The 24,822-nt window shown below is 44.5% G+C and overlaps 1 protein-coding gene across 1 annotated transcript, besides 1 other annotated feature; it reads right to left on the minus strand.

Moving 5' to 3' along the window:
* Positions 1,054–14,387, minus strand: FIGLA (folliculogenesis specific bHLH transcription factor). Its single transcript, NM_001004311.3, has 5 exons — positions 14,152–14,387; positions 11,393–11,545; positions 9,159–9,383; positions 1,381–1,415; positions 1,054–1,126 (listed from the first exon to the last, which is right to left on the minus strand). Exons 1-5 carry the CDS (start codon positions 14,380–14,382, stop codon positions 1,111–1,113), a joined length of 660 nt encoding a protein of 219 aa, NP_001004311.2. The 5' UTR covers positions 14,383–14,387; the 3' UTR covers positions 1,054–1,110.
* Positions 23,830–24,384: an enhancer, noted in NCBI's record as "OCT4-NANOG hESC enhancer chr2:71027218-71027772 (GRCh37/hg19 assembly coordinates)". NCBI's record gives its function as "activates a minimal SCP1, AML or CMV promoter by ChIP-STARR-seq in naive and primed H9 embryonic stem cells {active_cell/tissue: H9 hESC(naive and primed)}" and the evidence as "EXISTENCE:reporter gene assay evidence [ECO:0000049][PMID:30033119]".

Below are 24,822 nucleotides of genomic sequence, written 5' to 3' on the forward strand. Positions count from 1 at the left end.
GCTAGCTATCTCTCTGCCATATGAGGACACAGTGACAAGGCAGTCATCTGCAAGCCAGGAAGAAAGCCCTCATCAGAAACTGAACAATGCCAGACCATAATCTTGGACTTTCCAGCCTCTAGAACTATAAGAAATAAATCTCCGTTGTTAAGCCACCCAGTCTATGGTATTTGTTAAGGCAGGCTAAGCTAATTATACTTTCTGTACCTTGGTTTTCCCATCTGTGAAATGGGGATACTTATGCCATTATCTTACGCTTGTTGTAAGAACAAGTTAACACATGGAAAGCATAGAGAACAGAATCCAGCATATAATAAGTACTATGTCTTTGTGAGCAATGGTTATAAAGACGAAGTCTTTGTGCTCAAGGTGTTTGGCTGTCTACCTTGCACAAAAGGTGCCATTTGGCCTTAGCTGGGTATCTAGAAACCCTTGAAAACTCTCACTCCCCTTGGCCAATGTTTACAACTCTTTTAGCTTAAGTCTTCATTTCTATTAAGGTTAATTTCTATTGGAAGGGTAACAGTCACTTATTTCTCAAAGCAATGAAAAAAAGATGTAGGTCCCCAGAGGATGACAGTGAGTTGGAAGCAAAGGATGAAGCCCCTGAAGCCTATTTCTTCAAAGCATGAAGTTAAGGAGAAGGCAGAGTGGAGTAAACTTGAGAGAGGCAAGGCTATTTAAAAGGGTAATTGTTAAACTCGGAATTACTACAAAACTTCTTTTTTAAAAAAGAGACTCCCACGGGGCACAGTGGCTCATTCCTGTAATCCCAGCACTTTGGGAGGCTGAGGTGGTTGAATCACCTGAGGTCGGGAGTTCGAGACCAGCCTGACCAACGTGGAGAAGCCCTGTCTCTACTAAAAATACAAAAATTAGCTGGGCGTGGTGGCGCATGCCTGTAATCCCAGCTACTCAGGAGGCTGAGGCAGGAGAATCACTTGAACCCAGGAGGCGGAGGTTGCAGTGAGCCGAGATCACACCGTGCCACTCCAGCCTGGGTGATAAGAGTGAAACTCTATCTCAAAAAAAAAAAAAAAAGAGAGACTCCAAAACTTTCAAGACTGCATTTATTTGTCTCTAGAAGGTAACCCTGGGCCTTTTCATTTTTCATACTTGTGGAAGTCTGAAACAGAGAAAACATTCCATTATAAATAGTTAAAAATAAGAACCGTTTACAAAAGAAATAAAGAAATATGCAAAAAATTAATTTTATTAGTAATCAAAGATGTTTAAATTTAAAGATACTACTTTTTTACCCATTAAGATTCCTTCTTTTAATAGAGCTCATTGCTAAGAATGTGATGGAATTAGCACTCTTATTATACAGCCAGTGGTGTTATAAATTGGCACTATGCATCAGGTTATAGAATGACCTACCTGTGACTCAGCAGTTCTACTTCTGGGAATCTATCCTGCAAAAACAATACAAAATACAGAAAGGGCTAAACACATCGGTTATTTGTCACGTTTAAGAGAACAAAAAACTGAGAACATAGTGGCCAACAGTAAAAAAATTGTCCCACCTAATGGGTCACATAAACATGCCAGTGATAGAAAAATCAAGAACAGGCACACAATGTTATGTACCTGATGATAATTTTTTATTTTAGTTGCAAAGGAAAAGAAATGGGAAGGATTTTAGTGTATTTCCATCAGTGGTTTTACTAACGTGGCAAGATCATTTTGTCTCTGCTCAATTTTCTGAAACTCTCAACTTGAAGAAAAAATAAACCCATGACTGAAAAATAAAGCCGCTCAAGTCATGGTCAGGCATTTTGGATACTGAAACCTATTATGTACATCACTGTGGATGGTAAAGCACCGCAATCAAATGCTTTAACTTAGCCTTAAACATTTATCTATTTTCTAGTCCACCCTCCTTTACATTTCAAAGTTGAGTTTTGTTAGAACGAAAGTGGTTAAAAAGGACTTAACACTATCACCCACATCCCCCCCAACCCCAACACTTCACTGACTTGCAGGTATTGGGCAAGTTACTTCTGTTCCTTAGTTTCCTCACATGTAAAATGGATATAATTGTTTGTATAGCACAGGGTGGTTGTGAAAATTAAATAGGTTAATATGTATACACTGCCAGGAGCAGTCTCTGACACAAAATATGTATGAGTAGCTTTTTTTTTCTAATCTTGATCGAGTCTTTCCACTATACAAGTGATCAACATTTCTTTCTTTTTATAGTTCAGACCTAGCTTTGGAAGCTTTATTTTTAAAATAAATTTTAATTTTTTTCATATTTAGAATTTTTTATACTTGAGACAAATTCATATAAATTTACCTGAAGGATTAAAGGATGACAATATTCTGCCTATAGTCTACTGCATTTTAGAACATTTATTTTAGTTTGTTTTTAAGAATTAGCTGGAAAATTTCAGAAACGTAATATTTAAGTATGAGAATAGAAAAACTTGCCAAAGTTTATAAATGTTGTCTTTATTGTCACAGCTCATTAAAAATTGGCTGTTGGTCTCATCTAAGCCAAAGAGTTTAAGGTCCAAGAAGAGGGTAGTCTGGAGAATAGAAACCCAGTTTGCTGCTTAATATCTTTAAGAAGGCAGGCACACTCCAATTGTTGGCAGTGTGGCTGCAGAATTTGACGTATTATCCAATGTACATTCCTCCACCCACTGAGCCAGGCTTGGTGAGGGAGATGGGGTAAACAGAAATCCTTGCTCACTCAGCTTTAGAGTTCAGTCCCTGTTCCTATGATAATCTGAAAAGCAAGGCTCTTTCCAAAATCCCAGAGAACCACAAGCATAGGCACCATCACAGCACCAGCCCCTAAATCCCCAAAGTATAGAGAGCACAGTAAAATCCCAGGGCTATAAATGCAGTCGCCGGAGCAGCTTTTCCTCTGAGCCACTGTGCCTTTAGACCAGGGCAGAAAATCCCAACACCTTACCAGGTGAAATATGCTACTCTGGTGCAGGAAGGAGTGGGGAGGACTGGGACAAACCAGAAGGCACCCACCCCATTAAATGGGAAACAACTTTGGAAAATGCTGGGCTGACTAATCTCATCAGAATATGCCCCATGGGCTATTGGTGAACCCCAGGGCAGATGACTGTGCTTCTCAAGCAAAGCGAGACCCATCACTTACTGTGGTAGAAGTTTTACCATCGTATAGAGCCACTACCTGGGGGAATGTGAGGTGGAAGACAGAAGAAAGAGGCTTCAGGTCTTTCCCAAGGTGCTAATGAATTCATCCCAACTAGCCAAACCGTCTCATTTCAGAGCTTAAAATGCTATAGGAAGAAATGTCCCCAGTGAGTAATTTCACAGATTACCGCAACTTGGAACAGGGGTGGTAGGAGTCTACCATCCACACAGGATTCTTTCTCTCAGAAACTCTTTCAAGGAACATTCCCATGACATGCCAGAGTTTGGAAATATATACTGGCAGCATACCAAGGCCCCTGTAACAGATACTATGTCTCTCCATATGTCCCTTTCCAAAGGCCCTCAAGCCCCAGCACTCTTGGCATCTCACTCCAAAATTGAGGGTGGTCTTTGTCTAGAGACATGGTCTCTACAGTGTCACTGGCAACTCTGAACAAAATTTAGAGCCATGCATAATATGAAATGCCAGAACCATAACCACGAGTGGCAAATAGAAGGAATATACAATGGCAAGACAGCGAACAGCCTGCCATCTAGCAATGCCAACCCCAATATGGCAAAAACCTACACTTTGAAGCTCTAATTTTAAACAGGCCTCTCCTGGACCTTGAAATTAATTTTTCTCCCTACCAACACCACATGCTGTGGCTTCTCATGGCTCACGGCCCTCTCTGTCTGCACGAATACTTGCCAATTCATTCCCCGAGTGAACTTCTGGGGCTCTGGCCCCAGACGTTAATCTCCATCCCTGTCATCAGCAGATTCTCATGCACTTCATTTGGGACTTTGCCTCCCAGGAATGTTGTTGATCTTGCACAGCCTGCTCTGACCCCATCTCCAAATCCCCCAAAACGCCCATCCCTGCCACTACCAGGATTTCATTCCCTGGGTCCTCATCAAGGGTAGGGAAAAGGGTGCCACTCCTGCAAACTGAAGCTGGAGAGGGCCTGCCTCCCAAATCTTAAGCTCCTCTGGATATGAGCATTTCTGTCCAATGAGTCACATTATCTGTCACTAGGTCTCTAGTCTGGACAGGATCCTGAAACCTTATGGAGTCACCGCTTCAGGAAAGCTGGGCTGAATCTTTACGAGGATCCTTTTGTCAAATAAAGGTCAGCCTGAGCATCACTTCCTTGGACCCTTTTTATCTTGAGCCCACCCTGGTTCCTGATTGTAAAATGCAAGCTTTTTATACAGTTAATAAAGGTGATATTGAATAATCGCTCAACTCACATATAATTAAAGATCTCAGAGATAAATGTTAACAAAGAGAAAACTAGCCAGAAAGACGGCTGCACAGTAGGTACTTCAAAGAAAATGCGAGTTCTTCTCCCTCCTAAACAATTCAGTACTAATGTCATCAGTTGGGTCACAGTTAGGTAGTGAGAAGCCACAGTGACCCAAGTGAAGTGGTATCAGAGCCCAAGCAGGGTGAGATGGCACCCACATACAGAGGCAGCCCAGCGCAGGATATCAGAGATCCAGCAGATGAGGGGCATATTCACATGGGGGGTGTGGTCCAGTGCAAACATGGTACAGCCCAATCAGGATGAGAACGGCAGCCCCATGAAAGGAGTGGAGGCCTGGCCTGGGGACTCAGAGCCCAAGCTGGGTAAGAAGTCCATGGAAAGGGGCAGTTCAGCATGGAGTAGAGAAACCTGAGCTGAGTAGGCCAGGCACTTGTGTGTGCAGGTGATTTAGCGAGAGCAGGGAGAGGAGGAATCCACATATGAGGGGACCGGCGTGGAACGTCAGAGCCAAGAAGGAGGTTTTTGCGGAGGTACAGCTTGCCATGAGTGTTAAAGTTCAAGTGGGTGAGGAGAACAGCCATGTGGTGAGGGGATGGCAACAGAGATGGGAGATGGGTTATACACAGGGGCATCCTCAGATAAGTGGCTGATTCCAGGGCTGGGATAGAAAAGTACAAGATGAGCTTGGAACACCTTCTGCCAAAAAGGAAATGATCAAATAATCGTGATGACATATCAAACAGAAAGGCTGCCAGCTTAAGGAGCTTTCGCTGGCCACAGTGGGGACAATTGGAGCAATAAAATAATAAAAAATGATAGTATATAATAATCCACTGAATTAAACAGAAAACCATGAGCTCATACTAATATAAAAATGTCTGTATAAAAACAACCAAAATGTTCTAAAATATTTACGTGAACAGTTAAACTGTGGTACATCCACACCACAGATGACTACTCAGCAAAAAGCAGAGGAACAGACCATTTATACAATGTGGATGATCTCAAGGGCATCATCTGAGTGGAAAAAGACCATCTGTAAAAGTCACATAATGTATGGTCCCATTTTTATAGCATTCTCAAGATAAATTATAGAGGTGGAGAACAGATTAGTGATGTCCAGGAGTTTGGAAGAATGGAGGGTTGGGAGCAGAGTGTAGGTGTGACCATAAAGGGGCAGCGTGAAGATCTTTGTGGTGATGGAACAGTTCTGCATCTGGATTGCAATGGTGATTCCATGAATCTACACGTGTGATAAAACAACATACAACTATGCATACGTGGTACCAATGTCAGTTTCCCAGTTTTGATATTATACTATAGTTATGGAAGATGCAACCATTGCGGAAAACTGGGCTACGGATGCACAGCACTTTTCTGTACTATTTTTGCAACTTCCTGTGAATCTATAATTACTTCCAAATTACAGATTTGATAAATAAATATAGAATGTTTGATGAGTAATGAGATCTTTACATAGTTTCAAAGCACCTCCTCACAAAATACATATTAATTACAAAAGAAAAAGATTAAAGTGAAAGGCTTGGCAGTCACCACCTTAAGCAAGTGATCAAAGTGAATATCCTTAGAAATAGAATAAATCAAAATCTGCCCCATGTAATAGGATGCAATGAGTAGAAAACAGCATCACTTTTGTTATTCCTGCCGACGATGCATATCTGAATCTAATCGAAAGGAAACAGACAAATGCTGATCAAGACACGCTCTATAAAACAACTGGCCTGTAATCTCCAAACGTGTCATGGTTATAAGTCACAGAAGCACCAAGAAACTCTCCTTCCAGACTGAAGGAGCCATGGCAACTAAATGTAATTCATGATTCTCAGCTGGGTCTTTTTGCTAGAAGAGACATTATTGAGACTACTGGTGAAACTTGAATGGGACCTGAGGATTGTATGGCGGTAACGCCGCAACATTAATCCCCAGACTTAGTGGTTGCATTGTGGCTATGCAGGGGAATGTCCTGTTTGTAAGAAATGTACACTGAAGCCTTAGGGGTGATGGGACATCAGGTTGACCCTCAAATGTGCCAGGAAAAAAGTTCTTTGTACTGCACCTGCAACCTTTCTATAAGTTGACTATTGTTTCAGACTAATTTTTTTAATTTTAAAAATTAATGGCTGGGCATGGTGGCTCATGCCTGTAATCCCAGCATTCTGGGAGGCTGAGGTGGGCAGATCACGAAGTCAGGAATTTGAGTCCAGCCTGGCCAACATGGTGAAACCCCATCTCTACTAAAAATACAAAAATTAGCTGGGTGTGGTGGTGTGAGCCAGCTACTCGGGAGGCTGAGGCAGGAGAGTTACTTGAACCCGGGAGGCGGAGGTTGCAGTGAGTCGAGATGGTGCCACTGCACTCCAGCCTGGCAACAGAGCGAGACTCTGTCTCAAAAAAAAAAAAAAAAAAATGATTTGAATGTGAAAGGATGAAAAATCCTTGACAAAACTGATGAAATACTAGAATGCTTCTGCAAAAAAATGGCACTCTTTACAATCAGGCCTCAGAAGTCATACTTGACAGAAGTGACATGCACTGTCTATAAAAATCTCAAACGTCGAGTCTTCCTTGGTTCATTCTACAAATTAGCACTCTTCCAATTAACAACAAACTTGGTTGGCTAAAAAGACTAAATATTAAGTGTTTTACTCCCTTTTTTGAAGGAAATTCCAGTCAGAACATCTCTGGCTTTTACTAGGAAACGTTAGTCCCCACTCTAAATTAGTGTACTATACGTGGCCTATGCCCAGGTTCAATTATCCTTGGAAAACAAGGACCTCCCATCAAATGTACTTGCTACTAGTACTGCCAAGCACAGGCCTGCTCTGCTACTGCAGAGGCTCCTGTCCCAGCCCAGGTCCAACAGGACTGGCAGGAAGGTGTAGCCAGGTGGCTCACCATGACAGTGACATGATGACACCTACCTGACAAGGATCAATGAGGATTAAGTGCAAGTAAGATTTTCACCTTGATACTAGCATTTGCAGAAGCATTACTCTTCTTAGATAGTCAGGCTCAAGGTCTAGCTCAGGTCATTTTTTTTTTTTTTTTGAGATGGTGTCTCACTCTGTCACCCAGGCTGGAATGCAGTGGCATAATCTCAGCTCACTGCAACCTCCCCTCCCAGGTTCAAGCGATTCTCCTGCCTCAGCCTCTTGAGTGAGTAACTGGGACTACAGGTGCCCGCCACCACGCCTGATTTTTAGTAGCAATGGCGTTTCACCATGTTGGCCAGGCTGGTCTCGAACTCCTGACCTCAGGTGATCCGCCCACCTCGGCCTCCCAAAGTGCTGGGATGACAATTGTGAGCCACTGCGCCTGGCCCCACTCTTTTGTTGTTGTTGCTTTTAGTCATTCCATGTCAGCTCATGTAGTAGCAACAGGAATTCTGTCTCCTATGGGTTGACTGGCCAGCGAAATCTTATATCTCAAGTGGTCAGAATATGAAAATCTACACTGAGCATATGCACAAATGAATCCTAGAACACAATTAATCTAATCAGAAATGGAAGCCAAGGCCGCCCACCACCTCTCTCCCCACCCCTGCCCTGCCCCCACCAGCCAGCAGGAAGCCTGTAGGACCTCAAATCAGAGCACAACATTGGTGAGAGCCAAGTGAGAAAACTCAAAACACTGGCTACAGAGCTAGAATACCTGTGGCTCATTATTGCTCACTAATCAATGTTGATTGCTCATGAGTCAAGAGAAGTTGGTATCTATCCAAGTGACGTGACAGGTATTATGCCAGATACTTTGCTGACATGATATCATTTGGAGTTAGTTATCTTATATACAAGGTAGGTACAATTATTATACCCATTGCTCAGATGGAGAAACTGAGGATTAGAGGCATTTAGTAGCTCATGCAAGATTATACAGCTAGCAAGTGGTAAAACCAGGGTTTAAACCTCAGTAGTCTGTTCCCAGAGCCTACTCTCAACTGCTCGCCTCAACTGCCTCCCTCCAACCACCATCTGTGACTCCACAGCCCCCACTGTCCCTTATATCATACCATGCAACATGTTTGTTACAGCATGCTTACTTCACATTCCTATACACCTTTCTTATTTCAATAGTAATTGTGTTGCAGAGTAGGATAGAGCAGGGGCCTCATTTATGAATACCAGTTCACAGCAAGGGCAAAAAGTCCACTTCTGGACTTGGAGAAGCATGCTGCCACTTCCAGCTGTCTCTTTAGTTGACAAAGTAATAACAGACAATAAACTCCTTTGTTATTTCATTTAAAATGTTGTCTTACAACCAGCACCACCCCCCACCACAAAAAAAAAAAAAAAGTATCACCAAACATGCATCTTTATGTATGGCAAGCTACTTACTTCTTTTTCTGGAGACCATAGAGTCCAGAAAACCTTTTGATGGGTTAAATAGGATCATTTAAAAGATAAACTTAGGTCTGTATTGGGTGGTTCTGGGGTTAAATAGGATCATTTAAAAGATAAACTTAGGTCTGTATTGGGTGGTTCTGGGGTTAAATAGTTTCATTTAAAAGATAAGCTTAGGTCTGTATTGGGTGGTTCTGGAGGAGTTTCCCCTTCCCTGGAGCCGCTTACCAGTTAATTTAGAAACAAAATAATCTCCCAAACTAGTAAACCCCACTGCCCCACCCAAAGGCTTTCATTAAATTATCTTGTTTTAATCATGTTTTAGCATGGAAAAATGACTCATATCTCAAAGTATACATTTTAAGGTTCTGATATCTGTATGGGTATTTAAGAAGGAATATTTTACCAGACTTCTGGTTGGGGAGATAATTTCAGTCGTAGACATCACACTGTGGCGACAAGCGTGTGCTGGCTCACCACTGCCACCATCTGCCCAAGGCCCTTCCTCTTCATTCTTCAAGCCGAAAGCACAGCTGATATGTTGGGTGATGTTTCTTGACAGCTGTCTTGCCGAGGATGTATGTGATTCAGAACTGTTGTTACTATAGCTCTGCTCATCTGGGTCTTGTTTCTGGAAACCATATTTAGTTGTCAAACAGTATAATATGACAGAAAGATTTTGATGACTTAAACTAATATATTTCAAAGTTTTAACTGATGAGGTTTCATTTAAATGATAAGGGCAATGCTTAAGTCATTATGGAGAGAAAAGCATTGTTCAATTGACCGTATTTTGTTCTCCTATCATCTTAAAATGTTATGCAATAGGTAACTGCATTAAAAATATTATGGCATGGAACAGATGGTATGTTTTACAATGAACAAAGCACTTCTGTTACACAATTGACATGCAAGAGAAAACTAAGGTAGCCACCTACACATGTCCAAACACTGTGACCATACCAAAACCCAACCATCCAGTTTGACCAACAGGACAATTCACTCCTGCCATCGCAGAATGTAGCTTCCTAGCAGTCACCTGGCTAGGACTAATGGAGAAGAAAAAAATATTCAAAGGTACTATCATACACCTGGAGATTTCTGCCCCAAATTTCTAGGATAATTGTTTCTTTTCTCTCTAGTATCTCTCCTTCTGTTCCTAAACATGATCAAATTTCTACATAGGAAAGACCTTCACTTGATCTAACAACTTTTCTGCCTTTTTTTTTTTTTTTGGCAGGGGGTGCAGGGAGTGGGGTGGGGGGTGGTTCTTCTTTCCACTCTCGGACTTCTAGGTTTTCTTTTTTTTGGGGGGGGACAGAGTCTCGCTCTGTTGCCAGGCTGGAGTGCAGTGGCGCCATCTCAGCTCACTGCAAGCTCCGCCTCCCAGGTTCACGCCATCCTCCTGCCTCAGCCTCCTGAGTAGCTGGGACTACCGGCGCCTGCCACCACGCCCGGCTAATTTTTTTGTATTTTTAGTAGAGATGGGGTTTCACCATGTTAGCCAGGATGGTCTCGATCTCCTGACCTCATGATCTGCCTGCCTCAGCCTCCCAAAGTGCTGGGATTATAGGCGTGAGCCACCGCGCCTGGCAGACTTCTAGGTTAAATGGACTTGAAGTTTGCCACTTTCCTCTGAATCTGCTTGGATTCCAGATATTTACCAATCATGCACCCTCAATCTCCTCCAAGTTGATGCCCAGCCCAATTCTCTTTCACCTTTCAAGTGCTAGACATGGTGCTTCCCCCAGTCCTGGCCTTCTTCAGCCTCTCTGTAACCTCTCACACTCCTCACCTTTAGTTTCCTAAGGTTCTCTCCTCCTCAACTTTATGACCCCATCTTGTTCCTCTACCTTCTTGCCACATTCTAATGATGATTCCTTCCTCCTACCAACAGAGTTGCTTAGGGCTCATTTCTAAGGCCTTTTCTCTCTTCCTATTTTGTTTCCCCAGATGACTGATTCATTTTCAGCCCATCAATGTTTGCCTTTCCCTGGAACAAGTCCATAAAACCAGTCCACACTTTACTTTGCCTAATGGACACTTCTGAGCTATCTCACTCTCATAATGGTGGTGACATTATGATACTTCACAGTTTACAGGGCCATTTGTGTCATTCCTGCTGAATGGTTGCAAAACCCCATGAGACTGGTATCACCAGACCATTGCTGAGCTCTTCAGTTGGCCTTAGGGAGGGTCTCTCCTAAGAGAGGTTCCTTGGGGAAAAGAAATGCCTCTTCCTTCCTGTGTCCTGTCTGATGTGCATTCTACTGTAGGGAAACAACCAAAGTGCTTTTAGGAAAGCCCCCTCCTATGTCCAGCTGTAGAAATCCTATCAAAGATTCAACAGTCAGGAGCTAGGTGCCCTGGATAGTGACCATAGGCAAGTATAGATGGTCAGGGACTCAACTCTAAAGCTCATGTAGCTCTGGGTTCAAATCCCAGTCCTGACTTTTTCAGAGCTGTATGGCCTTAACTATATTTTGGTTTCCTTCTCTGTCAAATAAGGGTCATAAAAATAGCTTAGAGGTTATAAACCTTAAGTGGAAAGTATACATATATCACTTGGCACAGTGTCTCGTACATAGAAAAGGCCTAATAAATGGTGGCTATCATTATTCTAAAATCTTACACCTTTACCTTTGAGTCTTTGGCTCCTTCCAAAAGATCACTGAGAACCTGTATATATTCAGTCGCACCTTTAAGGATATCAACTTTGCTGGGCTTCCTGCTTTGGGGAAGAAATGGCACAAGTGCCTTCAATCTGGCAAAACCACGGTTGAGATTTTTTATCTAGAAAACAAAAAGGCACAGTAACACACAGAGAAGCCAATTTGTATAGACATCTCCCCAAGCTACAGAAGGGGGTTGTTTCCACTGCCTCCTTGTCTGAGTGGCAAATCTAAACAGGCATATGCCCCAAAGAGTCAGTGCTCCACCAGCAGTGCAGTTCATAGTAAAGGAAGAGGGAATGGCATAAACTTGGTACTATGGGCAGATGGGCTGCAAGGTGTGTTCATGTTCATGCTGAGCTCACTCCTCTTCTTTTGAGAGCATACCCGCTGTATCATAATGCGGAGGCAGTAGAGGAGTGGCTAAAATATGAATTAACTACACCCAGGTTTAAAATCCAGGTCTATCATTTACAAGAGTGTGTGGAATACTTCACATCACTAAGCCTGTTTGTTCATCTGCAAAATGGAAAATATCTTAAAGCTTTTTGGGGGGTGTGATTAAGTGATATAATGTACAAATAAGATACCTCACCCAAACCTGGCACATAGAAAGTCCTCAAGAAGTGGTATTGCTGGTGATGAATCAAATGTACAAATACTTGTCAACTCAAGCACTGAGCCATCAGCTCTTCAAACTCTTTCCCCACTGAGTTAATGATATAGAGGCAAGGGTGAGAATCCAGAGAGTTGGTGAGACTTCAAAGGCTCCTCATATTTTATTTTTCTCTCTTCTCCAGAGTCTAATCCCTGTCTCTGAAGGCCTATAATTCTGATGTTCATCCCCCTGGGAGATACAGGCCTTGGGAGAACTGGCTCCCACTATGCCACAAAGCCAATATATATTGAGTATATCCTACCCTGGAGCAAACCAGACAAGGGACATAGTTGGCCAATTCACAGGAGAATACAACAACCACTCAGTGTATAAAAAGAATTTAATAATCAAAGAACTACAAACTAAAACAGAAATTAGATACCATTTTTTATGTATCAAGGTGGTAACATTTTTGTTTTATCATACCCAGGATAAGGGATAGCTTGAAAAAGAGAACAGTCCTAGACCTGTAAGAAGGGATAAAAATTAGTAAACCTATCTAGAAAGCAATTGGGTAACTTGTATCAAAAGCCATTCCATTGTATATGCCTTAAGTCTCAGTAATTTCACTTGTAGCATTTTATTCTAAGGAAATTATCAGACACGCACATAGAGTTACACCGATAGGTACCGGTAAAAAGCTACAAACAGCAAACATGCCTAACAATAAGAGACTGAATACATTATGGTCCATTTTTGGACAGACTATGCAGTCAAAAACTATTCTTTGAAAGAATACTTAAGAATATAAGAAAATGCTTTTGATAATGTTAAGTGGAAAAAATTACACAAATATGTACTGAATATTTTGTAAAAATTATATATATATATATATGAATACACAAAACTAGAAAAAGACTGGGTGGATATACACAAAAATGTTCACAGTAGTTATATCTGTGTTGTGTCTCTTAACTTCTTCACTCATTTCTGTCTTTTCCAAGTGTGTTAACCTTATCATTATAAAGAATAATAAAGCTTATTCGTGTTTTAGTGGATAAAACCAGGACTGATTCTCTGGAGAAGACAATTCCTTCCTGGTGGGAAGGACCACTTAAACTATTAGATCATAATCTCTTTGTAGGGCCACCGAATCAGATCACAGGGTTCTGTCCATCAAGAGTCTAGTACTGGTAAAAGAGGAGACTTAAAGAAGTCTCCTACTCTCCTGTCGTCCTTTCTGCGCTTGCCCTCTCCCTGCAAAGCTCCTACTTGATTCACTGGGACATTTCTGAAAGGCCTAGGAACAGCCCCGGGCGGTACTTCTCTCCCCAGTCCCAGTCCTGAACGTGCGCTCTGCTCCCTCTTCTACCCCTCACCCTTCTCTCTCCTGGATTCGCCTCTGCTGCAACCAAACCCGTAGACTGCAAACGCTAGGAAGGAGACCATGTCTCCCAAGTTTGGGGCTGAGTTTCGTTAGATAGTAAAATCTACCAGCAGGTGCCGCTCCAACCACGGCCCACAGGACCCTTCCCGTTTGCGAGTTGCTGCGGCTCGACTGGGAAACACTCACTTTATCTTGACAGAGTTGAGTGGGAGTCTTGGGTGCACACTGGGACGTCGTGTTTCGTTACTTTAAAAAAGAAAAGTCACTTCCGTCAGGCCCCCCTTTCTCCTCACCCTCGTGTGTGCTTCGAGGCCGAGATGCAGAGAGCAAGAAAAAGGAGCGAAGGGGATCCCTGCGCGTCCCAAGCACCCACCAGCGCCTACGGTGTGAGATGAAGGCGCACCCCCTGGGCGCGAAGCTTTTAAAGCACCTGCCCAGGGAGACATTTTTGAAGTTGTCAGGGCCCCTCCTCTGTCCCCTCCCAGACCCGGGTCCTGCACAAATCCTGGAGGGTTAGCGGGCGAGGCGGCCACCGCAGCGGCCGCCAACGAGCAGCTGCACGGAGGTGCAGAAGAAGGAGGCCACTGCCATTCTCCTGACAAGCTGGGGGCGTGGGAGGCCTCGGGAGCTCGAAGTCGCCTCGAGCGGGGGTGGGCGGTGAGCGGACCCCCGGGTGTTGACCAGGTGTTTGGTGGTAGAGCAGGGAAGGGGGGAACGGACGTCGACCCTAGGGATCCCTCACCCGCTCACGCTCCTTGGCGTTGGCCACACGCCGCCGCTCCAGCACCAACTGGAGGTTTTCAGTGGACGAGTAGCCGCCCGAGGGCAGCCGCTTGAGCCGGCAGACAGCGGCCAGCTGGGGCAGCGGCCCGAACTGCTCCCGCAACACGTCCTCCAGCACCTCGGCTTGCGGGGTGCCCAGGAGCGCGGGCGGCGCGGCGCGGGGATCTAGGACGCCGGGCGCGGGGTCCATGGCAGGGCCGAGGCCGCTGAGGCCGGGCTTTCACCTGCGCACCCGGGGCCGCACGAGGCCCGGGCGGGGGCGGGGCGGGGGCGGGAGCTGGACCACCTGCAACCATTCCCCGGCTGCGTATTCCAATCCCGGCCTCCTCTCTGGAGGCTGCGTCCAGGCATCGCGTTGAATAAGCCGCACAGGTGTGACTCGGGAGCGCTGGAGCGCAGCCCCGGCTGCACACCTGGAACCGCCGGGAGCGTGGTAGTGGTGTTTTTCTCAATCCACATGCCACGGTTCCAGTCCCCCAAATTCCCATTTAATCAATCTGTCTTGGGGCCTGAGCTTCTGGCTATGTGTATACAGAAAAATGTGATGGATATCCACAAAACTTTTTTAAGAATTCGTTTTGAAATAAAAGTTGCGGGGAAAATGGCAAGAAGAGTTTCTAAGAGCTCCTGTACCCCCTTCGCCACGCTCTCTACTTGCTAAGTTTTCACGTTTGCTCCGTTGCCCTCTTTCTCGCTGTGAATATTCTCATTTTCATTATTCTTTTTCCATTCTATTTGAACTATTTTCTTTTTTCGCGAGTGGGGGGATACATCGCTTTATTCATTTTCCCCCTTTTCCACACAGACCTTTATTGTCAACACAGCCAAACACAGTTGTTACTTCAGAAAATGTGCTGGAAAATAGCGATCCCAAACTTGTTTAATAGTAGAGTACAATTTAGTACTCTAGAAATAATTAACTACATCTTCTGTTTTGAGTAGATTACTCATGAGAGTTTGTTTCTCTGGAGGTTATCAATATAACTGGAACATTCTGATCTTGCACCTGAAAATCAGACATGTTTCTGGAAGCCCTCTGTAAAATCATTCCTTCCAAGCATAGAAATACATTTTTTTTTCTTTGGTCTGAGAAAATATTTTTTCTACGCTTTTGTTTCAGGTTCAGGGGTATATGTGCAGGTTTGTTAAGTGGGTAAATTGTGTGTTGCTGAGGTTTGGTGTACGAATGATCCCGTGGCGTAAGTAGTGAGCCTAGTACCCAATAGGTATCCTTCCAACCCACGCCCCCCTCTTACTTCCCCCTCAAGCAGACCCCAGTGTCTATTGTTTCCATCTTTGTGTCCCTGTGTATTCAATGTTTAGCTCACACTTATAAAGTGAGAACAGGCAATGTTTGGTTTTCTGTTTCTGTGTTAGTTCCCTTACAATAATGACGTCTAGCTGCATCCATTGATCTATTCTTTTTTTAAAGTTTTTAAGTTGCAGACATGCTGTCATATCACCTCTAAATACTCCAGTGGGTATTCCCCCTAAACAAGGCCTCTCTTCCACATAACCGCAACACAACCACTCAAACTAGGAAGTAAGCATTGGTACTGTGCTACCATACAATCCATGGACCCCATCAAAGTACCACCAGCTGTCTCAACAATGTCTTTTTCTCTTCTGGTTGGAATCCAATCCAGGAGTACAAGTTTTATTCTGTTGTCATATTTCTACTCTCCTTCATTCTGGACCATTTCCTCCATCTTGTCCTGTCTTCATGCCCTTGACAGTTTAAAAGAGTAGGGGCCTTTCATTCTGTAGTATGTCCCTCGACCTGGGGTTGTCCACTATTTGCTCATGTCCAGACCCCAGCCATGCCTTCATGGAGGGGCTCCATATAAATGATGCTGGGCTCTTCTCAGTGCATCACATCAGGAAGTACATGAGGTTGATCTGCCCCACCACTGGTGATGTTAACCTTAATCGCCTGGTCAAGGTGGTGGTGTCAGGTTTTTTCACCATAAATTGATAAATATTTTGTGGGCCAGGCACGGTGGCTCATGCCTGTAATCCCAGCACTTTGGGAGGCTGAGGCGGGCGGATCACGAGGTCAGGAGATTGAGACCATCCTGGCTAACATGGTGAAACCCTGTCTCTATTAAAAAATATTAAAAAATTAGACGGGCGCGGTGGCGGGTGCCTGTAGTCCCAGCTACTCAGGAGGCTGAGGCAGGAGAATGGTGTGAACCCGGAAGGCGGAGCTTGCAGTGAGCCTAGATCTGTGCCACTGCACTCCAGCCTGGGCAACAGAGCAAGACTCCGTCTCAAAAAATAAAAATAAAAAAAAATTTTGTGAGGAGATACTCCTTCTCATCCATTGTTGACTCCTACCTGAATCAACCAGCACTACAATTAGAGGCAAATGATTGGCATTCTACTGTGAAAAAGAGCTTTCCCTTCTTCCCATTTATTTATTCATTTTGTATTTATGTCAGCATGGGCTCATGAATTTCTATTTTAGTCACAGGATATAATTTATTTACATCATTATGTTAATGCTCAAATTGTCTCAGATTTGGCTTATGGGAGGCCCTCTAAGCTGGCTCCTCTGTCCTTTTCATATGACTCCCTCATTCTTTGTGCACTTTCTCACTTGTCCCAGGAAGGCTCTTCTTGAATTTTCCCAGCCCCAGCCCAGGGATCAGTCTATTCTTCTTTTAGTGGAAGGTAGGATTTAGAAACCAAGATCTGTGTGCTTGCTTGCTCATTCCTTTTGGGATGTCATTGCTTCTAAGCCCTTTTTGCAGATATGACACATATGTAGGTAAGTACACATGCATGTATTATATTATAATAATGCATATAATATCCTCTAATATAATATAATGCATATAATAACTATATCTGTGTATCTAAGTACATATATATTTAAAACCATGAGTTCACACTAATACCTCCAACTCCAACCCAACACCTCAGGTTCCCTCTAGTTTCTCTGCTTTCCTTTTTTGTAACTCCTCACCCCATATCTGCTTTTGTAACTCCCTTCTCCAACAATGAGAAGCTTGACTCACATTATCCTCAGTGTAATTACTTATTTGCTCAATCCCTGTACCTAACCAATTTTCTAACCACATCAGCCACCTCTTAGGCCCCACCCTTCTTCAGCTCCCACTCTGACATTGCCTCCCAGGAAAGGTCAAAGGAAAGAAGGGGACACACCAAATGTTTGACTGAGGTTCCTTGAGCATGGCCTGGGAATGGGGAAGTGTGACTGCACATCACATCCTCTATATAGCTTATTTCACAATAAACACGGGCCACTTCTGTAATTTAAAATATATTTTTAAGTAGGAAAATACTTTGTTTGCGCTAAGTTCATTTGGTGTTGTCTGCTGGCAGGCAGATGGAAAGCAACAAGGGCCAAAAGTGTGGGAAAAAGCTTAAAATGGAGATAGCTTACCCATTTACTTAACTTTCCTTGAAAGCATCATAAAGGACATCATTGATATTATTCTATTTTATTGCCAAACCTTGCAGTGAACAAGGTGGTGTACATTAGGAACCCATTGTGAGCACACCAGATTTGATTCCTTCATACCTGTGTTCTTCCATAAACTCCAACTCTTAACTTTCTGGCCTCTGGTCTGTTAGATTCATACGTTATGTCATTGTTCTCAGGGAAAGCAATCATGTGAACTGATTTAAGCTAAAGTGTTACACCTGATGGTGACTTAGGGCTGATACCTTGCCATACACCCAATAATACAATGGCCTAATGAACAAAAAGTTTCACTATCCTCTAACAGTGTGAAAGGTTTAGGTCAGCTCTGCTCCTCAAGGTCACTTGGGGACTTAGGTTCCTTCCAAATTATTGTTCTTCCATCCCTTAGGGTCAACTCCCCTACAGCATTGTCATCATTGGCATGGCTGAGGCTCGGTAGCCACCGTATCTGGGTTCCAGGAGAAGGGCACGGAAGAGATCTTAAGGCCTGACCAGAGGTGGCACATAGGATTCAACTCACATGCCATTGGCAGGAATTCACACATGGCTACACACGGATGCAAGAAAGGGTGGGGGAATGTAGTCTGACTGGGGAGCCATGTGCCTGGCTACAATTCTGTTCAATGGGGAGAACGCATTTGGTTGACAACAGGAGTCTCTGTCCTAGTGCCCCTCTTCTGTGCTCCAGTAGTGCCCATAAGCCTCTGCGAGATCATTTATTTCTCTTATTTTGGCTCCTTGAAGGAGGATCACTGGCCACAGCATCTCCAGCACCTACGGAGTGCTGGCTTGGCACACAGTAGACATGCAATAAACATTTGTTGAATGAGTGAGAAGGCAAATGAATGAATGATGCTTGCAATGAAGTAAAAAAGCTACTTTGACATGGGTAAAATAAGAACCTGCTTATTCAGGTAAAATCTTTCACGTTTTGCCATAGCTGCTTGACCCTATAATATATATTTGTGAATAAATAAATAGATGAATGAAAAAGCTTACCTAAGTTTACATAGAAAGTAGGAAGATCTCTCTGCCATGGAAAATTGAAGGATAAGTGTCCTCTTAGATGCTGGTGATATACTATGGTTGATATACACAGTACTGGCTCAGTTGCATTCATCCTATACTGCTCTATGGGTCTAGTAGGGAGTTTCCTGTTCCAGGCTGCCTGAAGTATGTGAACATCTTTAGGTCCCAGAATGCATTGCTCTCCTTGTGTTTGCTATTCCTGCTTATTGCTCTTCCTTTGTGGGACCAGACCTCTTGGGATGCAACTGATAACATCCTCTCTTTACTGCTTTTTTGTTTCCTGAGTCCTAAATACCTTGTAGTCCAGTACAATGCCAGCCGAATGGAGTCCACCCTTGGAGTAAGGATGGGGACACACAGCTATCTCAAAACACAATGCCTTGAAGAAAGGGGATCCCTGTCTAGTTTGCTGATTGATACAGACACTAGGTCTCTGAGTCAATGGTGCAAAAAGCAGGATAAGGCTAAAGGACCTTTTACCAATTTCTTATTGTTGCTCTGTTTCAAAAAGCAAGACATGTGCTTGCTTCAAATCATGTTTCTGACCTCAGCTCCATGACTATTACAGGTAGTCGGTAAAATTTCTCTGGCAATTGAGTTACTACCTGTCTTGGTTTCTGCTGCTGCTGTCAGTTTTGCCTTTTTCTGTGTGTTATTATGTATTTTAGAGGGAAATGAGAAGACTCTTGGTCAAATGCCATTTTAAAGAGAAAATTCCCCTAATACTGGCTTTAAATAACACTTTTTTTTCATTTAAAATTAAGAAAGCTATTTTTTCACTTAGGGAGAGTTAGAAGGCATGCAGTAAGAAGGAACTCTTCACCTTTGCCTGATGACATAAGGCTGGGTGAGATGATGACTTAAGGCTGGCACATATTGAATGCTAACAAATGTCACCATTATTGTCACTTCTCTTGCTAGAAAAGCTGTTTCCCTCCATGCCTGTGGGCGGCTAAGGAAAGGTCAAGACTGCTCTGTCTACCTGGGGACAATTAAACAACACTCCTCCCGAATCCTGCCTTGGAAGGGGAGGGCAGGGACAGGAAGGAAAGAGGGGGAACCTTAGCAGTGATCAGGACACACTCCAGGCAGAGGCTTCCAGCAGGCCAGGGAAGCAGAATCTCAGTTTGGACCCCTGGATTTGGAGCATTTGAATTTTTCTGACTTTGGGTAGGGGGACATTTTTGTTTGTTTTTCCCTTAGGCTTTCAATACTCTAGCCTGTTTTACTTGTGCAAAGGGGCCTATGAATGATATTCCTAAAGCCAGGAAGAGGTAATCATGTTAAGCAGAGTGAAAAAAAACCCCCAGGGTTTCAGGGTTGTTGTTTTTTTTTTTTTAAGCAGTACCTCTTTAACAAGCCATCCCTTCCTTTCAGGAACTCCCACCCCAGGTGCCTCATCACCCCACCCCACCCCTTCCAGAAGGGATTGAGAGAGATAAGGTAGGTGGGGTGTCATTCCTGAGCTGTCCCCTTAGAGGCCTCTGCAGGGAGCCTGCCTTGCAGCAGCAAAGACCTCAGGCCATTCCCCCCAGCAAGGCTCAGTGTAGGCTCAGAAGCTCTTCTAGCTATTCTAAGCAGATGCCAAAGGATTTCATTCAGGATCCTGCTGCTTACACAACCATCAGAGGGCTGGAGAGGCAGGAGGAGCTCTGAGTTTGAGAACACACCACTGCCACTGCCATCAACCCCACAAATGTGGGGAAGGGGCCTAGGACACGGTGGTGGAGAAACGCCTGGCCCCATCTCCTTGCTTTCCACAGAAAATATACAAAAGGACAGGAAGGTGAGCTCTGCCTCACTTTCACCCTCTCAATGTCCTACAACAGTTTCTAATTAAATCATCTTAATTGGCATTCAGAACACTGGGTCCTAATTCTGAAAAATGAAGCTTCTGCAGTGCCAAAAGGCATGAGGTGGAGGCAGCCAATCCACATTATCTTCTCCTACGAGACACAGAGAAATTGCCCTCGCTCCATCTCCAGCCGGTCCACCTTGTCAGTCTTTGCCCGTTAGTTACCCTAGGCCTAGCTGAGAAGAACTCTCCCCTGCTGGGTCTGCCCTCCTGGGCACTCAGCATCCCTTATCACGGTGACCACATTGTGGCTCACACATGCCACCTTTCTCCCATTAGCTCAGGCAAGACAAGAAAGAGCTGCTAAAAAAGCAGCTTTAGTAAAGGAAGACCAAGAATGCATTTTAAACAGGGACCAAAGACTATAGTCAAGCCTATATTGCCCAGAATTCCCATCCAAATCGATTTGGCAATTTCATGTTGTTCATATTCACATAAATTCACATTGTTATGATGATATATTATTTTTGACACAGCATTATAATTTTATCCCACTGTATCCTGGGCATTAGACTTTCCTCCCATTGTGCACATGAGAAAATTGATAGAGTTAAATGACCGGGCAAGGTCACGCTGCCGGTCAGTAGCAGAGCCAAGTCTAGAACTCAGCTTTGTCACATTCACTGCACGTTTGTCACATTCACGTTCACTGCAGCTCTCTTTCCTCCAAGTCTGAGTGGCCTCCAACCCAAGAACACTCAGCACAGCCTCACATTTCCAGCTGCTTGGGTCCCGGCACACAGGTCCTGCCTGCTTGCTATGTGGATTATTTCACTTCCCTTGGGGGCCTTCTCTTCCTCCACCCCCACCAAACATGAGCTGGGATTAGTGTATTGTCTACACCACCAGCAGGGTTAAAAGAAGTTCAAAAGTGCCTCTCAGAGAGAGAACAGAGAACAGAGAAAAGGAACAGGCACAGAGACTCTGCCCTTGGGCTTTGTCTCCAGGAAACTGGCCAAAGACCTTCCCTTCCCAGAGCCCCTTAGCTCAAGAGCTTCTCATTGGTGCTGCTGTGCTTCAGAGCCCTGACAAGACATAAAGAGAGACCTACAGCCTCGTGAAGAGGCCCTGGGAAGCTTACAGCCATGTGAGCTGCAGTGGCCTTGCAGAAGAGCTGAGAAAATGAAGCAGAGAGTGGGGGCTACAGGCAGAGGGCCATGGCTGTCAAGGGGGACCTTCTGCAGCAGGGCGTTTGTATGACCTTCAGGCAAGTCATCTGTATTCATCCATTTTCACACTGCTGATAAAGACATAACTGAGACTGGGAAGAAAAAGAGGTTTAATTGTATTTACAGTTCCACATGGCTGGGGAGGCCTCAGAATCATGGTGGGAGACCAAAGGCACTTCTTACATGGCAGTGGCAAGAGAAATGAGGAAATGCAAAAGCAGAAACCCCTGATAAAACCATCAGGTCTCGTGAGACTTATTCACTACTACATGAACAGTATGGGGAAACCACCCCAAAATTCAAATGATCTCTCACTGGGTCCCCCCCGCAACACGTGGGAATTATGGGAGTACAATTCAAGATGAGATTTGGGTGGGGACACAGAGCCAAACCATATCATTCCATCCCTGGCCCCTCCAAATCTCATGTTCTCACATTTCAAAACCAATCATGCCTTCCCAACAGTCCCCCAAAGTCTTAACTCATTTCAGCATTAACCCAAAAGTCCACAGTCCAAAGTCTCATTTGAGACAAGGCAAGTCCCTTCTGCCTATGAGCCTGCAAAATCAAAAGCAAGCTAGTTACTTCCTAGATACAATGGGGGTACAGATATTGGGTAAACACAGCCATTCCAAATGGGAGAAATTGGCCAAAACAAAGGGGTTACAGGGCCCATGCAAGTCCAAAATCCAGCAGGGCAGTCAAATTTTAAAGCTCCAAAATTATCTCCTTTGACTCCAGGTCTCACATCTAGGTCATGCTGATGCAAGAGGTGGGTTCCCATAATCTTGGGCAGCTCCACCCCTGTGGCTTTGCAGGGTACAGCCTCCTTCCTGGCTGCTTTCACAGTCTGGCATTGAATGTCTGCAGCTTTTCCAGGCACACAGTGCAAGGTGTAGGTGGATCTACCATTCTGGGGTCTGGAGGACGGTGGCCCTCTTCTCACAGCTCCACTAGGTGGTACTCCAGTAGGGACTGCGTGGGAGCTCCAACCCCACATTTCCCTTCTGCACTGCCCTAGCGGTGGTTCTCCATGAGTTCCCTGCCTCTGCAGCAAACTTCTGCCTGGGCATCCAGGCGTCCATACATCTTCTGAAATCTAGGCAGAGGTTCCCAAACCTCAATTCTTGACTTCTGTGCACCTGCAGGCTCAACACCACGTGGAAACTGCCAAGGCTTGGGGCTTGCACCCTCTGAAGCCACTGCAAAGCTCTATGTTGGCCTCTTTCAGCCATGGCTGGAGCAGCTGAGACGCAGGGCACCAAGTCCCTAGGCTGCATACAGTACAGGTACTCAGGGCCCTGCCCAAAAAACCATTTTTTCCTGCTAGATCTCTGGGTCTGTAATGGGAGAGGCTGCCACAAAGGTCTCTGACATGCCCTGGTGACACTTTCCCCATTGTCTTGGGGATTAACATTTGGCTCCTCATTACTCATGAAAATATCTGCAGCTAGCTCAAATTTCTCCTCAGGAAATGGGATTTTCTCTTCTATTGCATTGTCAGGCTGCAAATTTTCCAAACTTTTATGCTCTGCTTCCCTTTCAAAACTGAATGCCTTTAGCAGCATCCAAGTCACCTCTTGAATGCCTTGCTGCTTAGAAATGTCTTCCACCAGATACCCTAAATCATCTCTCTCAAGTTCCAAGTTCCACAAATTTCTAGGGCAGGGGCAAAATACCAGTAGTCTCTTTGCTAAAACATAAAAAGAGTCACCTTTGCTCCAGTTCCCAAGAAGTTCCTCATCTCCATCTGAGACCATCTCAGCCTGGATTTCATTGTCTATATCATTATCAGTATTTTTGTCAAAGCCATTCAACAAGTCTCTAGGAAGTTGGAAACTTTCCCACATTTTCCTGTCTTCTTCTGAGCCCTCAAAGCTGTTCCAATCTCTGCCTGTTAGCTAGTTACAAAGTCGCTTCCACATTTTCAGGTATCTTTTCAGCAACACCTCACTCCTGGTACCAATTTACTATGTTAGTCCCTTTTCATGCTGCTGATAAAGACGCACCCAGGACTGGGAAGTAAAAGAGGTTTCATTGAACTTACAGTTCCACATGGCTGGGGAGGCCTCAGAATCATGGTGGGAGATGAAAGGCATTTCTTACATGGCAGCAGCAAGAGAAAATGAAGAGATGCAAAAGTGGAAACCTCTGATAAAACCATCAGATCTCATGAGACTTATTCACCACCAAGAGAACAGTATGATGCAAATTATCTCCCACCGGGTCCCTCCCACAACAGGTGGGAATTATGGGAATACAATTCAAGATGAGATTTGGGTGGAGACACAGAGACAAACCACATCATCATCCAAACTCTCTGGGCTTTATCTCCCCATTTGTAAAGTGAGGGTTCTAATAGAGCCTTCCTCAGAAGTGAAGTGAGGAGTGAAGTAGGCCATCAGCAAAACAATCACGACTAATGCTTGCACAGTGGGATCCGTGTCCCATGCACTATCCTAAATTCGTCCTATGCATTGACTTTCCTAATTGTCACAGCACCCCCACGAAGGAGGTACTGTAGTTACTTCCATTTCACAGAAGAGGAAACTGAAACATGAAAGTCAATGAACCAGCTTTCCCAGCTAGAAAGGAATGAAAATGGGATCGGACCCAGAGTGTTTGGCCTCAGGGCCTGGGTCTATAACCTCCAAGCTCTCCTGCCTCCCATAACCCCCACCATGTTGTTAGTTAATGGTAGCATGATTTATGAACCAAATAGAAAGTCCAGAAATGTGGTTATCATACAGACAAATCCTAAGTGACCCAGGCTAAGGGGTGGTCAGAGCACCAATGCAGAAGCTACAATCAGAGCTGGTTGAGGAGACACTAAGGGGCTTGGCTCAGTTCCAGTGACCCCATGGCAGAAGTGTGATGAAAAGCTCATTGGGGTCATCTTGAAGAGGGCCTGGGATCCCAGTCCTGGCACCTGTATGGTGGAGAGTGGAAAATGCTTGTCAGGTCTAAGAAGTCAAAGATTGCAACAAAAGCAGGGCTTTGGGGAGATTCAAGAGGCAGTGAGATGCAGCTGCTTTGGGGAGTGAGGCAGGGTTGCACTATGGACAGCCTGCTGCTTGGGGCCCTGTCCTGCAGGAAGAAGCCAGATGGCATGGACCCTCTGGCTAT

Source organism: Homo sapiens, chromosome 2 (genome assembly GCF_000001405.40).
Source record: "Homo sapiens chromosome 2, GRCh38.p14 Primary Assembly".
NCBI lineage: Eukaryota > Metazoa > Chordata > Mammalia > Primates > Hominidae > Homo > Homo sapiens.

Bases quoted from the DNA above. Each gene is read 5' to 3' on its own strand.
- FIGLA (NM_001004311.3), bottom strand. From the start codon at position 14,382: ATGGACCCCGCGCCCGGCGTCCTAGATCCCCGCGCCGCGCCGCCCGCG. The intron at 11,546-14,151 runs GTGAGGGATCCC...TTTGTTTTCTAG, and splicing joins ACGCCAAGGAGCGTGAGCGG to ATAAAAAATCTCAACCGTGG. The intron at 1,416-9,158 runs GTAAAATATTCC...TTGTTTTTGCAG, and splicing joins TCTCCCCAACCAGAAGTCTG to GATAGATTCCCAGAAGTAGA.